This window comes from Homo sapiens, chromosome 20, assembly GCF_000001405.40.
Source record: "Homo sapiens chromosome 20, GRCh38.p14 Primary Assembly".
Lineage (NCBI taxonomy): Eukaryota > Metazoa > Chordata > Mammalia > Primates > Hominidae > Homo > Homo sapiens.
In genome coordinates this window covers 61,721,896-61,738,154 of record NC_000020.11, presented here as the reverse complement: position 1 = coordinate 61,738,154, position 16,259 = coordinate 61,721,896, and the positions used below count along the sequence as shown (strand labels likewise).

The window sequence follows — 16,259 nt, the reverse complement described above, 5'->3', positions numbered from 1 at the left end:
GACCCCAAAGCCAGTGCTGGAGGTGGCACAGAGGATTGGGCCCTGGGGTCAGGCCCGGCACCGCCTGCCCCAAGGAGGTGGGCCCCAGAGGGTGGGGAGGGGAACACCTGCTGTCCTCACACCAGAGCCACAGGCATGGAACCTCAGGGTCCCAGCACCCGCTGCATGCGCTGTGGGGCAGGTATGCATGTGCCCAGCAAGGCGGGTGTGCACCAGCAGCCCTGCGCACACCTACCCTGGTCTTGGGGTGCAAACACCAACCACAGCCTCCTGTCTCTGTGACCTTGAGGAACGGTGGTCCCTCTCTGAGCACAGTCTTTGTTTCTGTGAAATGGGAGTGATGGCAGGGACTCGGGGAGGGGGACAAAGGTAGCATGTTGATCCCTTTGCTCAGTACCTGGCATAGGGCAGGCACTGGGTGGATGTCGGCTGCTGTCCTTATGCTCTGGCCAGTATGCCCTGTGGCATCCTTCAGTGGCATGGACATGGCACCAGGGAGCAAGGCACCCAGCCAAGGTCACACAAGGTCAAGGTCGTCCATCCCACAAACACTTACTGAACACCGGGGTCTGCCGGGAACCGCACAGGCTGAGGCCAGGGTGGTCAGTGGCCAGGTGATGACAGCATGGATGGCCAAGCCCTCCAGGCTGCAGTGGGGTCACACAAGGGCCCTAGTCAGGCCGGGGGTCCCTGGGGTGGGATGGGGAGCCGTGCAGGGTGTTTGCGGCCAGCTGGCTCTTGGGATTCTGAGCCTGTGGGGATCCATCTCTTGTTCTGCTGGGGGTCAGCTCCCTCTCCTCACCCCAAGGTGTGGGGTCAACAGATTCTGAGGTTCTGGGCAACCTGGCCCCATACCGCTGGCCTCCTGTTCTGGACAAGATGGATTTAATTTTAAAGCCCATGTTTTCTTCTGAGAAGACACCAGAGAACAGAAGCTGCTCCATCTTTCATCCTCCAGGGACCACCCTCTGTTGCCCACTCTGAAATATGACCAAATGCCAGGCAGGGCTCAGCCCCCAGGGCCAGCATCCAGCAGGATCTGCAAAGCCATCCAAGCAACACGAGGAGCAACGAATGCTGAGGCAAACCTTCCCAGGAAGGGCTGCACACCAGAGAATCCAACAGCCTGGGACTCGTCCCAGGGCGAGCCCCTGCACCTCGACCTTCTCCTGGCAGCTGTAGAGCAAAGCACAGGCTGAGGGTGGTCCGGTCTCCCCTTCCCCTTTCCGGGCTGGGATGCGGCTGGCCCCCGCCTGTCACCCACGTCTTCGGCAGTGTGAATGTGGGCCTTAGTCTCCCTCTGTCACCCCAGTCTTGGTTGTGTTGTGGATGGAGTTTCTGTGGCCCCCGCCCCGGGTGACCTCATGATGGCTCCATCTCCCAGGACTCATGCCAATTCTGCTCCCCTAAGAAGGGACCCCGCCTGTCGTGAATGCGCCTCTGGATATGCACAGCTGAAGAAGGGCAGCTTGCTCCTCTCTCCCTCTCTCTCCCTCTCTCTCTCTCTCCTTCCTTCCTTCCTCCCTCCCTCCCTCTCCTTCCTTCCTCCCTCCCTCTCCCCTTCATCCATTCGCATGACATATCACTGATACCACCAGTCAGCAGACACCAGACACAGAGACTGCCAGTGGAGCTGAGAGTGTGGGGCAGGACAGACATTAACCAAGTCATCACATCAGACGTGCGGCACTCTACAAGGAAGACACAGGTTCTGTGAGAGCCTGACCCAGGCTGGGTGGACAGGTGGGGAGGGCTTCCTTGATAACAGGACCCTTCCGTGGACATCTGGGGAATGAGGTTCCAGAGAAGGCTCGGGTGGGGAGCACATTCCTGGTAGTGCTGATGGCACTTGCAAAGGTCCTGGGGCAGAGGAAGGGAGGAATTCCAGGACCTGAGAGCTGGTGTGACCGGAACAGGGGCAGCTGAGGTGACAAGAATGAACACAGCATGGTGTCAGGAAGACCCTCGGCCAGCGAGATAACCTACACCTTCGGGGTGGGGACTGGCCCAGGAGATGTTGCATGGAGGCTGCTGACCTGGTGACTGCAAGAAGGCTCAGAGATCTGCACAGGAGTGGGGGGCACCCTGAGCTCCCAGGAGGTCCCGCATCCTCTGGGACTGAGGGGGTGTCCTGAGTGGAAGCCACACCCAGACACCCCCTTTAGGGCCCAATGTTAAGAGAGCTACGGCCTTTCCTAGCCTTGCAAACAACTCGGGAGCTGAGTTAGAAGGCTGTTGCGGTGGCTTCAGAAGCACATCCTCAATATTTGGCTGCAAAGAGGATCACAGCCCCCGAGGCAGAAGGCTGTGGCCCCCGCTGCATGCACATGCTCTCAGACACGTCTGCTGGGGACAGAGAAATTCAAGAGCCAGGAAAAGGAGAAAAGAAAGAAGAAAGAAGAGAGGAATGTCAGGGAAGTCGATTCCTCCATTCCTGCAGCAAAGACCCGTTAGCCACGGAGGCCGTGGGGAGGCCCCAACCCTGGGCACCATCATCAGGGAGCACGGGGTCCAGCGGAGGGGGCAGATGTGGCCTCAGTCCCCGCAGTGGCCCCGAAGGCGCTGGCCGGGAGGCAGAACCTCAGGGTCCCTGTGGCCCCCCAGGTTTCCTGTGCTTGGTCCCCGAGTCCCTGGGGAACCCCTTGGGGGTCTGCATTGGGCTGGGCTGTGGTCCCTGCAGGCACCTTCCTGTACCTGCCACAGGTTCTGCCCACCAGGGGGGTATAAGAAACAGAGGAGGGTGGGGGAGTGAGCACTAATGGGGACCAGGTTTCCCTTGGGGTGACGGTGGCCCAGCATTTTGAATGTGCTCAATGCCACTGAATTGTATGCCTGAAAATGGGGACATTTACGTTATGTGAATTTTACTTCAGTTTTAAAAAAGCAGCTTCTGGGGTCCCTAATTCCAGCTGCTGGGGAGACGGGGGAGTCCTCCTGAGCTCTGTGCCCACGGGGCCCCAACCGCATCCTGAGTCTCACACATCTCCCTGGAGTGGGTCCCGAGTGCCGGCCACAGCTTCCTCTCCCCACAGAGATCTCCAGATCAGCCCAGGGCAGGGTCCCTCCTCCACGACCCCTCTCTCTTTCTGGCCCCTCTGTCGTTTTTCCTGTCCCTGGGGAAGACGATGGTGCTTGCCGGGAGGGGCCACAGGGAGGGGCCGCAGAGCAACAGCCATCACCAGGCGCCTGCCCGAGGCCCACCCAGCGCAGGGAGATTCTCGGGAGCGGGGGCTATCGTCTGCGCTGGGCCTCAGCCCTGGGGACTCAGGAGGGAGATTCATAGGTTCTTGAATATCTGCCCAGGTTGATTCGTGTGACTGTGCGCGCTTTGTGTGCGCTGTGTCCACGTGCTGGGTGGGGACGGAGAAAACTGGCGGTACAGGGAGAAACTGCTGAGGCTGAGCTCAGTCTCCAGAGCTCCCCACGGCCCCAAGCCTGCAGCATGCCAGGCTGGGAGGGGCCTTGGAAATGATCTACTCCAGCCCCTTGTTTGGGTGATAGGGAAACTCAACCTGCTGAAGGAAAACTACCTTTTAGGATGAATTCTCACTATTCAAACAGTTTCCCACACCCTTATTGAATCCCTGCACCATGCGGGGCCCAGAGTCACAACCAAGGCCGTCCCTCCCCGTCTGGGGCTCTGGGCACCTCCAGATCCCGTGTAGTAGATGCCCCAATGCAAAGCATGTCACAAGCGCACTGCCACGGTGCTTTTCTTTGAATTGTGTGTATTCACAAAGCTTGCAGCTGGTGCAAACCTCACATACAACAACTCCCCGTTCCGAGCCTGGGAAGTGTGCAGTGGGCCCTGCCCAGGCTTGGGCCAGTTCTGAACTCCGAGGATTACATGTAGCAGTCATAATTAGACCCTCAGCTAAACAGCAGAGCCCGGCTTCTTTTGTTTTTCCAAGATGAAGGAAATAATTTTCTTAGTGTGTGACTTCACATCTCCCCCCAGCCCCCAGTCTCACGCGTGCACGGCAGTGACGGGTGCAGTGATGCGGATCCAAAGCCTCTGTGGAGACTCGGCATCGCGCACCCACAGAGGAGCCGGCAGCTCCCCTCATTAGGAGGCTTCCGGGTTAACCCTTTACCCCCATCTGTCTAATTGCTTCTCTGTGAAAGGGGCCAGGAGACAGCCTGCGCTGGGAACCAGCCCTGAGTGACATGCGCTCCGCTTCCTCTGCGGCAGGAGCCTGCTGACATTTACGGGCGCAGCAGGCTGTGTCTCCCCAAGACGGGCATGCAGGAGAATGGTGCTGCAGTTACAAAACACACCTTTTTATTGTTTTTCTTGTTAGGTGAATTGAGAAAGATCAAATGAGCCAGAGGTGAGCTTGTAGCTGGGACCGTGCTGAGGAGAGGGTGAGTTTCAAACCCTCAGGTTCAACCAGCAGAGGTTGCCAGCTTGCTCTTTCTTTTCTTTTCTTTTTCTTTCTTTCTTTCATTCTTTCTTTCTTCTTTCCTTTCTTTCTCTCTTTCTCTGTGTCCTTCCTTCCTTCCTTCCATTCATCCATCCATCGTGTACCCATTTCCTCCCTACGTACCGTCCTGGGTGCTGGGCAGTCAGCCCACATGGCATGTAGTGTGGTGGGAAGACCATGAGGCAGCCGGCCCACGAACAAAGTCACTGTGACAGGGACAGCAGGGGAGATGAGGGAGCAGAGGGTCTGTGGGGGAGGAAGCATGCATCCCGAGGCCTCTGTGACCGGGGGAGCAGACCCAGAAAGTCGGAGCAAGAGTGCTTTGATGCGGGAACAGCACGTGTGAAGGCCTGGAGGTACAGAACCACTGGGAGCGGCGGCTGTGAGTGGGATGAGGGTGATGGGAGAAGCTGGGATCCAACCTGGTGGGCGTGGACCACAACTGCAGACCCCTGGGCATGTAAATGGCTGCCACTGCCCGGAACTTGCTCTGTGTGGAACATAGAGAATTCCCTTGAAACAACCAAAGACCCTCCTAAACGACATCAGCAGCGGTAGCAACTGAGCACCTAGCGTCCCAGGAGACTGCCCTTCTTCTTTCCCACCCTCCCCTGACCTCCCCACCTCGCCCTGGGCCACTGCTTTCCTGTCCATCTGTCCATGCGTCATCTCACACCTGCTGCCCCCACACAGCCCAGAGCACCCCCGTTTTCAGAGGTGGGAGCTGGGGTCTAGAGGGGGAGAATTAGGCCCCCAGCTGGTCACTCTAGCCGGTGCTGAAGGGGCTCCCAGCACATGTGGCACAGGGCGGAGGCCACATTCAGCTTCTGCTTTGAGATGCCCGAAATGGAACAAGACTACCTGAGACATCAAAGCCTCGGGCAACACAGGGACATGGGGTGGGGGGCTCATCTCCAACCTCCAGCCTCTTCCTTTCTCCCACTTATCCATTCAAGAATCGCCTATGAGCACTCTCACAGGCGTGGGGGACGAGCGGTGCACACCGAGGTCCTCCCCCGGGAAGCTGTCTAGTGGGGGACCATGCGTGATGAGCTGGCAGCTGGACGTGCCTGGCTAGGTAGGGGTAGTGTTATGGAGCCACTGGAGGGAGGCATCCCCTCTCCAATAGGCCAACCTGAATGAAGAGAGGTGGAAGGCTGTGTTGGTGCCTGAGGGAAGAGCATTCCCCGCAGAGGGAACAGACAGTGCAAGGCCCTGGGTCCTGAGGCATGCTTAGTGTATCTGAGGATGGGAGGAGACTGGGGGGCAGGAAGGGAGCGAGGAGGAGGCAGGGAGGGATGGGGCAGTGCCTGTGGGCTCCGGGAGCCCCAGTACGATTTCTGGATTTGATTCCAAGGCACGCGGTCACCTCCACACTTGTAGGTTGGAGAGCTGGGACTTGAACTCCAAAAGCTCCTTTTCCCTGAGGCAGTGCAGAGACTGAGTGTTGGTTTGGAATATCACAGTGTTCATGTCCATCACTTCACCAGGACTTGCTAGGAAGCCACTGTCTCCCATGAAAGATGCTGCTGGGAGGCAAACGCATATGCATATTTTGTACACAGAAAAATCTTGGGTTATTGCAAAGACCTGAGTAATGCACTCGAGCCACTTTGGAGTGAACCAGCCCAGCAGTGAGTCACCGTCACTGCAGCAGGAGCTCCCAGAGGGGAGAGGAGGCTGAGAAGGAGGGAGAGAGAGGACAGAGTCTGAGTCCAAGGTTTCTGAAGGTGGTGGCGCTGGCTCAGGTTCTTGATGAAGGAGAATCTCCTAAGGGGAGTGGGTGGGTAGGGGGACCGTGCAGGTGGGGCAACCTGGGTTCTGATGTTGCTCATCCCAGGGGACACACCCTCCAGTAGAGGCATCCCCGCCAGGCTGTGCAGCCCCCGAGTCCTCGTGGGGGTGACAGTCGGGTGGAGGAACAGCCGCACCCCCGTGGTGCCAGGACACCTGCAACAGTTTGAGAACCTTCTACCCCACGAGCCACTCACTCACGTCTCCAAACCAAGGGAGCATTTCCCAGATGATGTGGCAGCGTCTGCACGGGGCCTGCCCATCCCAACCCACCTGCGCAGTTCTGGGCTTGGCAGGAGGCGTCCCGCTGGAAACGGCGCTTTTCCGATTCTACAAACATGCAGCTGCCTCAGGAATCTGCTGAGCAGCAGGATGTGGAGGAGCTGAGGCTGCCCTGAAGCCTCTGCTTCACCCCACCTGGGGGGGACCTGCCCAGGCTCCAGGTGCACCCTATGGGCCCTGCCCAGTGAGTGATGGGACGGCGTGCACTTTCCAAAGAGATCATCCTGACTGAGCATACCCCTGTGGGGTGGCAGGGATCTCATGCAGGGCTGCAGGGCTGTGCTCAGAACCATCTAGGAGGGTGGCGGTCAGGAAGGGTGCTGCGGGAACACAGAACCTGACTGGGCACGTGTGAGGGGCCGCCGGGGGGCCGAGGGGTGAGGAGAATGTCACGAGGCCAAAATCCCTCAGGAGACCCTCAGAATGGGACACACCACAAGCGGCACGACTGTTTGGCCTGAGCAGAGCCAAGGGCAGGGCTGAGGGCTGAGGGGGGGACTCGGACGCCCTCATGCTCTGCAGATGAGAGGACCCTGCCGTGATGGGCCCCAGGACATCTCCCGGTGCAGATCCTTCTCCTGAACTCCAGACCCCAGGGTGAGGTCTCTGGGGTCTGCCCACACAGCACACCCTTGCTGCCTGAGACCCCCTCAGCTGCTCCTTCCCCTGGAGCTGCCACAGGAAGGGGTGCTACCTTCCACGTGGGAGCCGGAGCCCCTGGATACCCCAACTGGACACCCAATCCATCCCAGACCCCGCCGCCCAGCTCAGCCCGCTGCCTGCATGGCCCAGTGGTCTCCCCAGCCAGGCCCTGCCCCCAGCACCAATCTCTGCCTCACAGAGCAAGTAGATCTGGCGTTTCTGGAAGGCTCATCTGCTCCTGTCCCTCCTGCAGTCACAGGGATGCAGTCGAGTGTCTCCACTGATGGCTGCTCAGGTTGCCCTGGCTGGCTTCACCCTGGCTCCAAGCACAGGCAGGGCCTGAAACTGCCGGCCACCTCCTGCCAGTCTGTGGGCCTGGGGCTGGCAGGCGCTGGGCCTGCCTTCCTCACCGGGGTCTCTGGCACCTTCCAACCAGGTGACTTTGGCACCCAGGAAGTGCTTGAGAAAACTTAATGGGGTAAATGCACAAGTTCCATTTCCCTTAGCTTCAAAAATGGATATCCAATGAGCTATCAGGCCCCCAGACATGGAGGAGCATTAAGGACATGTTGCTAACTGAAAGACGCCCATCTGAAAGGTTGCATACCCGTAGGATTCCAACTCCATGACATTCTGAAAATGGCAAAGCCACAGAGACAGTGAAAGGACCGTGGGAGGAGGGAGGGATGAACAGGAGGGCATGGGGGACTTTCAGGCAGGGAAGCAGCACTGTGAGGTCTGCAGTGGTGGCTCCGTGTCACCATGCATTTGGTCCAAACCCACCATGCATTTGTCCAAACCCACGAATCCGCCACACCAAGACAGAGCCCTCCTGGAGCCTGGACTGTGTCCTAATAACGCGTCGGTACTGACATGTTATTTTTCCATTGTCCGTCAGTCCTAACAAATGCAACACACGAATGCAAGACGTTAACAACAGGGGAAGCTGGCAGTGGGAGAGGGGGGTGACTTCCTGCTCCATTTTCCCATAAACCTAAAACTGCTCTGAAAACCAAAGTCTATTAAGAAATGGATATTCACTATCTATCAGCTGTACCTTCTCCAAAGAAAACAAAACACTCTGTCTCCGGAATGTTAGAAATCCCATTATAAAGTAAAACAGTGAAACCTCTCTCTTGCCGTCTCATTTATGGCAGGAAATATTAAACTTGCGTCTCCCTCTGGCTTTTCTTCTTGATGCATCCAACGCTGTAATCTCACATCCTCATGGACACTGCATCTCTCTCTGATGAGAAAATACCATGGGATTCTTCCTGTCTAAGAAAAGCCAGCCAACATGGCAACAAGTGTGTGCCTTACACTCTCCGGTGTGGCCCTGTCCCCCAAAACTTGCACTCATCGTCTCCACGTCTTTGTTGAATATTTATGGTGCTATGTGCAAACCAGAGACTCTGCCAAGAGGAGACGCAGCTCCTCAAAGGACCTCAGCAAGCCTGTTTGCAGCTCCCTGCTGTGGCGAAAGAGCCTTACGTCGTGAAAGGGCTCTGAGCCTATATAAAGAGAGGAATTTCTCTAGGTTCTGGCACTAATTAACAGTTCTCTGTTCAAGAAAAAAAGTGCAGGTGTATTGGGAGATACAGAAGAGGGGGCCGCAGGGAAGGGCCACATTCTGAGGCAGGTATTTACACAAAAGTTCTTTTCCACAGTGGCCGTAGAAACTGAGCTGTGAGCGCCTCATTAGCCAGTCCTACTGGTGCCCACTGGAACGAAGCACAGTGGCTCTTGATGTGGGCGATGTCGCTAATGAAGTCCTCCCACTCACGCCAACACAGGAGTGAGCAGAGAATAATAGTGGCAAATCCAGCCACCAATGCGCCATGCACCGAGGACTCCTGGGCTTGTGAGATGCCAGGGCCTCTTGTCAAAACACGCTGCAGTCAGCGCTCGCAGAGCAACAGGGCTAATGGGCAAAGCCTTGCTTGTCATTCCCACATGGGCGAGGACGGCTGGAGACTGACATTCTTCCCGGCATTGGCCAGGACATCGGGGCACCGCTGCTGCCCTGAGTCACTGCAGGGAGGAAAGCCCTTTGTCCCTCTCTCCCAGGGCCAGCGGTGTCCTGATGGCTAGGGGTGTTCCTTGGGAACCTGGAGGGGGTGGCCTTGCTGGGACTTTTGCTCTCTCATTCAAGGCTGTGAGAGTCCATTTAACGGTGTGGAGAAGTGCGAGTTATTTTTAGAACTCTTAAAAACGTCACATTTTTATTGAATATCTGGAACTAACATTTCATGAACCAACATGAACCAGTGTTTCCTGAATCTTCACTCATACATTCATCCGTTCATTCAATACTGTCTGCTCAGACATCCTGCTGGGCACTTGGAGCACATTCTCTTACAGAACCCACACAAACCTATATGGAAGGTCATGTTCCTTCCATTTTCCCAAAGAGGAAACTGAGGTACAGGTATCCTGCCCCGTATCCCGAGGTTCCACCGCTGGGGCATGGTGGGCCAGTGCTCACCTGGGGGCATCTGGCTCACTGCCACTCCCCACCCTCACGAGCCTCATGTTGCTTGGCACTCCCCTTTCCTGCTCATTCCAGACATGGCCCTTGAGCCCTTCCTTGAAAGACAAACTCAAGCAGAGTTTTAGAGGATGGAAGGATGAGAATAAGGCACCATCTAAATAACATTGCCCTGTCAACAGTGACGTGATCTTCCACCACCCTGCTCCCTTCCACCCTATGCTTTTGCTATGAAGAGCTTCCTGGATGCAAGACACACACAGATGTCTACTCATAAACAGGTGGTTATGCTTAGATGTTAAGCACCCCCTGCAGAACACAGCAGCCCACTCACTCACAGCCTTGGAAAGCAGAGAGGCCAGGTTCTATGGCTGATGGGGTTTAGAGAGAAAAAAGGTGTGCTGAGGTCTCTGGATCCTCCTAGGGTAGGTGGCCTGCTCAGGCCCTGGCTAAATCTCACTCACTGAGGTGGCCCAAGGGGCCCTGAGCTCTTTCTTCCATAATGAAGAGGCGCAGGTGCTTCCTACACTGCTGGGAGTGAGTCACCTGCTTCTAACCTGGGCAAGGCCTCTCCTTAGCCCTAACAGCAAACAGCAATGCCATGGTGTGGTCATGGTTGGTTTGGCCCAGCTAAGTCTTGTGGAAATTGGATCCCCAGGGTTGGAGGTGGGCCTTGTGGCTGGGGGTGGTCGGGGGGAGGCATTTGGGTCATGGGGACAGATGTCTCATGAATTCCCTAGTGCCATTCTCAAGGGAGGGAGGGAGTTCTCACTCTAAGCTCCCAAGGGAACTGGTTGTTGAAATGAGCCTGGCACCTCCAACTCTCCCACCTCCTCTCTCACCACGTGATCTGCACACCTATGGTCTCCTTTGCCTTCTGCCATGAGTGGAAGCTTCCTGAGGCCCTCGCCAGAAGCAGATGCCCATGCCATACTTCCTGTGTAGCCTGCAGAACCGTGAGCCGATTAAACCTCCTTTCCTTATAAATTACCCAGCCTCAGGTTGTCCTTTAAAGTAATAAAGGTGGACTAAGGTAAAGGATAATAATAACGCATATGATATTGGCAGTGATGATGATGATGGTGGCAGTGATGGTGATGATGACAGAGATGATGATGATGGCAGCAATGGTGATAAGAGAGATAGTGATGGCACTGATGATGATGGTACCAATGGTGATGAAGGCACCGATGATGGCACCGATGGTGATGATGGCTCTGATGGTGATGATGGCTCCAGTGTTGATGATGATGACTCTGATGGTGATGATGATGGCACTGATGGTGATGGCTTCAATGGTGATGATGGCTCCGGTGGTGAAGATGATGACTCTGATGGTGATGATGGCTCCAGTGTTGATGATGATGACTCTGATGGTGATGATGGCTCTGATGGTGATGATGATGGCAACGATGGTGATGGCTCCAATGGTGATGATGATGGCAGCAATGGTGAAGATGGCAGTGATGGTGATGATAGCAGCGATGGTGATGATGGCAGCACCAATGGTGATGGCTCTGATGGTGATGATGATGGTACCTATGGTGGCGATGATGGCACTGATGGTAATAATGGCTCTGATGGTGATGATGGCAGCAATGTTGATGATGATCTCACTGATAGTGATGATGATGGCACCAATGGTGATGCCTCCGATGGTGATGATGATGGCAGTGATGGTGATGATGGCAGTGATGGTGATGATGGCAGCAATGGTGATGATGGCACCAATGGTGACGATGATGGCAGCAATGGTGATGCCTCCGATGGTGACGATGATGGCAGCAATGGTGATGATGGCAGCGATGGTGATGATGATAGCACCAATGGTGATGATGGCTCTGATGGTGATGATGGCAGTGATGGTCATGATGGTGGTGATGGGACTGATGGTGATGATGATGGCAGTGATGGTGATGATGGCAGCAATGGTGGTGATGGCATAATGATGATGATGGCAGTTCTTGCTTACTTGGCCCATACCACATGCCTGGGAATGTACCAAACTCGAGACACAGAGCACCTCACTAGGTCCCCACAATGCCCTTAGGCTGGGACTACTATCACCCCATTTTACATATGGACACACTGAGAAATAAACACCCAGCACACCCTGATTTCCGAAATGTAGTCTCTGCCTTCAAGATGTATCAGTTGAGGAGGGGGTTCCCAAGCAGAAACCACCGCAGGGCACCTCAGAGAATACCCCAGGCTTGGCTCATGGGATAACTCACTCCACCATGAGGCACCTGGCCTGTGCTGGTGCCAATGGTCACTGGCGGCTCCCAGCTGCTTTTCGGCTCCTGTTTCTTCTGTGGCATCAGCCCTGGGCCACTGGGGGTACCCAGACACACTTGTTGCTGCAGGAGTGGAGAGGGTTCACCACAGTCCCCCCCGAGACTATCCCCATGCCATGCTCTCCCCACTGCAGGGCCCTGGTCGTGGTGGCTGGGGGCTGGCTCCTGTCGTCTCTGAAAGCTCCCATCACATATCTGAACGTTGTCCATGTGACGTGGTGAGAAAGATGTTGGAGCTGATAGCTGGGACTCAGGGAAGCCAGGCCCTGGGGTGGATCCTTTCAAACACAAGACACAGGACCGGCCAGGCTATTTCTAGAGCCGCAAGCCTCCCTCATTAGTGCCTTGCACATCAGGACTGAGCTAATGAAATCACTTGCAATTAAGGCTCAGGTGGAGAGACAGCTCTCTTTGCTGTCCTGAGAGGCCACCTCCCCTCCCAGCCCTCCCCTTCCTCGCCTTCCCCTCCCTCACCTCTGGCCTCCTCCCCCCTTGTGTCTCTCTGCAGATGGGAAAGCCCACTGGAGAGGTGGAGGTAGGGGCGACTCTTGACGGGCGTCCAGGGTTGGTTTCTGCTTGCACTCCATTTCCCATAAGTGCAATTTGGGGGTGTTTCTTGTTTTCTGTATTTAAAAAGCATTCCTGTGGCAGTTTCATCCATTCAGACTGGAGGGAGTCACAATTTCCTTTTCCTCTCAAAGCTCTCAGAAACATCTGAGAGAAAGAGAGCTGAGGCCTAGGTGAGCTTCAGGAAGGCAGCTCCTGTTGATACTGGGAACAGTGCTCCCTGCTCCCAGGCAGCGCGAAGCCACAGGGGAAGAAACTCCAGGCAGAGAGACCAGACCTGGGTCCTGGCTCTGGCCCTTCCCAGCTGCAGGTGCCTATGCATGTGCGTGTGTACTGTGCAGTGTGCACTGTCTATGACCAGCTCGGGGAGGTGTGTGCGGGGCAAGGCCCTTCCTACGCTGCGGTGTGTGCAGGTGGACGGTGCCACAGATGTCCCTGAAGCAGGAGGAATGGGTGGAGGAAATGTGTACATGAGTGTCATCAACACACTGACTCCACAGAGGCTCCTCTTCACTCCTCCACCTTTTTAAATTTACTTTTTATTTTTTAGAGACAGGGTCTCACTCTGTCGCCCAGGCTGGAGTGCAATGGCACAATCATAGCTCAGTACCATCTTGAACTCCTGCATCCAAGTGACTCTCCTGCCTCAGCCTCCTATGTAGCCGGGACCACGGATACCTGCCACCATGCCCTGCTCATTTTTAATTATTTTTGTTGAGATGGGGCCATGCTATGTTGCCCAGGCTGGTCTTGAACTTCTGGGCTCAAGCGATCCTCCTGCCTCAGCTTCCCAAGGTGTTGGGATTGCATGCATGAGCCACTATGCCTGGCCCTCTCTCTTTTTTAAATTAAAAACAAATACACAAACAGAAAATATTTTACCCTCTGCCCTTGACTGCAGGTGTACAAATCAGGAGGAAAATTTAGAGGCAAGGACTACAAGACAGAATCTTCCCATCTTGACTGAGGCAAGGACTACAAGACAGAATCTTCCCATCTTGACTGCTGCCCCCAAGTGGACAGCCCTGATGGCCACAGTACAGCCCGGGGTCGGGGCGAAGGGGCAGCAGGAGACACCCTCATCTCTCCACTTCCTGCTGCCTCTTCTGTCTGGAAGGGCCTTTGTTTTGGTAGAGCCAACACTGCAGTCTCTGAGGCTGTGGTTGGGTAAATACCTCTGGGCTCCACGGGAGTGCAGGGGGCAGGGCTGAGCTTTCTCACTGAGCCCACTGTACTCAGCTCACACATTCCAGAGTTTTCTAAGTGAGGGCCTTCATGGGGAGTCTTGGCGGGACACGGGGTTCTGAACTGCGGTACCTACAACACAGGCGCTGGCTATGCTGGCTCCTGTCTGAGGCTGCCCTGCTGCTGGCACGGTAAGTGCCTGGATGCTGCCTTGAAGCAGGGGCAGGGCAGTGAGGAGCCCGCTGGGTCCACCCAACTGTGCCCTGCCTGCCCCCTGTATGGGGACCCACCCCGCCTGCCGCATGGAGCCTCCATCCTGTGCCCCCTGCATGGGGACCCACCCCCCTGCCACATGGAGCCTCCATCCTGTGCCCCCTGCATGGGGACCCACCCGCCCTGCCGCATGGAGCCTCCACCCTGTGCCCCCTGCATGGGGACCTACCCCCCTGCCACATGGAGCCTCCATCCTGTGCCCCCTGCATGGGGACCTACCCCCCTGCCACATGGAGCCTCCATCCTGTGCCCCCTGCATGGGGACCTACCCCCCTGCCACATGGAGCCTCCATCCTGTGCCCCCTGCATGGGGACCCACCCCACCTGCCGCATGGAGCCGCCAGCCGCTTGCACGTCTGGCTCATGTTCACTTCCAGGTTTCTAGGGCTGAATCCAAAGATGACCCTGAATTTTCCCAGCCCAGATCCCTCTGTAAACACACTCTGGTTGGCTGCCAACTATGTTTTCTAGAGTAAATAAGAAGTAACTCAGGAAATGCAAATAGATTTTCTCTTCTCTCTGCACCGCACAGCCCTGCCCAGGAAACCTCTCCCTGTCAGCCCTCTTGTCCCAGGTGCGTTCACTTCTCATGCATTTTTGAGCTGTTCAGGGAACCCTCGAGAAGAGCAGGTGCTTGGGGTATCTGTAAAGTGAGGATGGAAGCTCCTAGGGTCTCAGGTGCCCATCATGCCCAGTCCCTCAGCAGGGCCCAGGCCAACCCTGCCTTGAGCAAAGGGAAGCCAAGCCCGGAGGAGGCTGCAGGCCCTGGGGAGGAAAACGACAGAGCCAGAACCCACTCATTTAAACGGCAGCTGCACTGCTTGCCCCATGGCGCACGGTGCTCAGAGGGCCCCGGGAGGGGCCTGCCCGGTGCTGAGGAGCCAGGACGGGGGTCCGGAGGAGGTGCAGGGGCTCCTCACCCAGTGAGGCTGCCCTTGGGCAGGGGAGCAGCCACCACTGAGACCAAGGGTCCACTTCCCTCCAGGCTGACCAGGGCTCCATGAAGCCGTGTGAGGATATTGCTGAGGACTTCTTCGGGAAAAACAAGGACTCTGATCCTCTGGGAGTCGGGGACACATGACCAGACTCATGGTGATCGGTGATGAAGAGTGAGGTCTGCCCTTGTGCAGAAGGAAAATCACCATTCCACTTTCTAATGTCTTCTACAGCGTCCTCTTCCTCAGCCAGGGGTCAGTCCAAAGCAAGCAGGACCCAGGATGTCTGTGGTGGCCGTTCCTGATCCAAATCCTGTTTCTAAAGAGCACGAGGAAAGAATCAGCGGATACTCTCAGGTCACAACAGCATCGTCCCAGGAACGTCTTCTCTCTTCTTGGAAATTTTCAATGCACATCAGAGGGTCTGAGAAGTCCTAGAGGGGAGGTGATCACGGGACCCCCACAAAATTTCTGCTTTCCTTGGATGAAAGGCATTGTTGGAAATTCAGGGTGTATCTGTCAGTGCAGGCTGGGTTAGGAGTACCAAACTGCTCCCAGATCTTGTCACTTGAAAGAGCAGAGCGTGATGCTGGTCCATGCACATGACATGTCCACTGTGCATGCGTGGGGGGTGGGGGGGCGCCCTGCCCTGCAGAGTCCTTGGGACAGAGTGGAAGAGGCTTGTTTTTCTGCTTCCACGATGGCCAGTGCAGAGACTGGCCACAAGGGATTAGACACAGCCTGGTAAGGCCCCTCCTGGGGGGATGCACCTGGGTCCTGCTTCCATTTCATTGGCCAAGACAAGTCATGTGGTCGCCTCTAACTTCAGAGGCCTGAGGAGGTGAAATCCTTCCTCACTTCTGGAAGGATGAGTGGGCTCTGTGCCAAGGATATGTCAACATGTGTGTAGCAGTGAGTGCTGATGACGGCGGCTGGCATGACCAGCACGCTGGGCTAGAGGTCGTCTCTGTTGTTCATCAGCAGCCCTTCCACAGCATTGAGAGATAGTCCTGACTTTCCAACCATGGCTTCTTTTCTGCAATAAATACAATGTCACTTACAAAGAAAAAAAACCCCAAAGCAGGTCCTGCATCTAAAGAAGTAATTTTAATGGATACTTCCAAAATAATCTGCCATTTCTTCTTGGCCTGGGGCGTGCTTGTCTGTATGTTTCTCTGCAAAGGCTTCCTAAATCTCTGTGCAATCTCAGTTTGTTCTTTCTCTCACATTGGACGGTGAGGTGCCTGAAGGTGGAGGTTGTGAGGTTTCTGTCTTCTGTCCTTGAGCAGGAAAGAGCCCAGGGCCCCCACTCTCCAGCACACCCCATTTCTCTGAAAGGGCCAATGGAGAGTGTGGGCCATGGAGCCTCCCA

The 16,259-nt window shown here is 55.9% G+C and overlaps 1 protein-coding gene across 5 annotated transcripts in view; it reads right to left on the bottom strand.

Annotated features, from left to right (window-relative positions):
• CDH4 (cadherin 4) overlaps nt 1–16,259 on the bottom strand; it is a 688,357-nt gene that overhangs the window by 202,463 nt on the left and 469,635 nt on the right. The gene's annotated exons all lie outside the window — the stretch shown is intronic.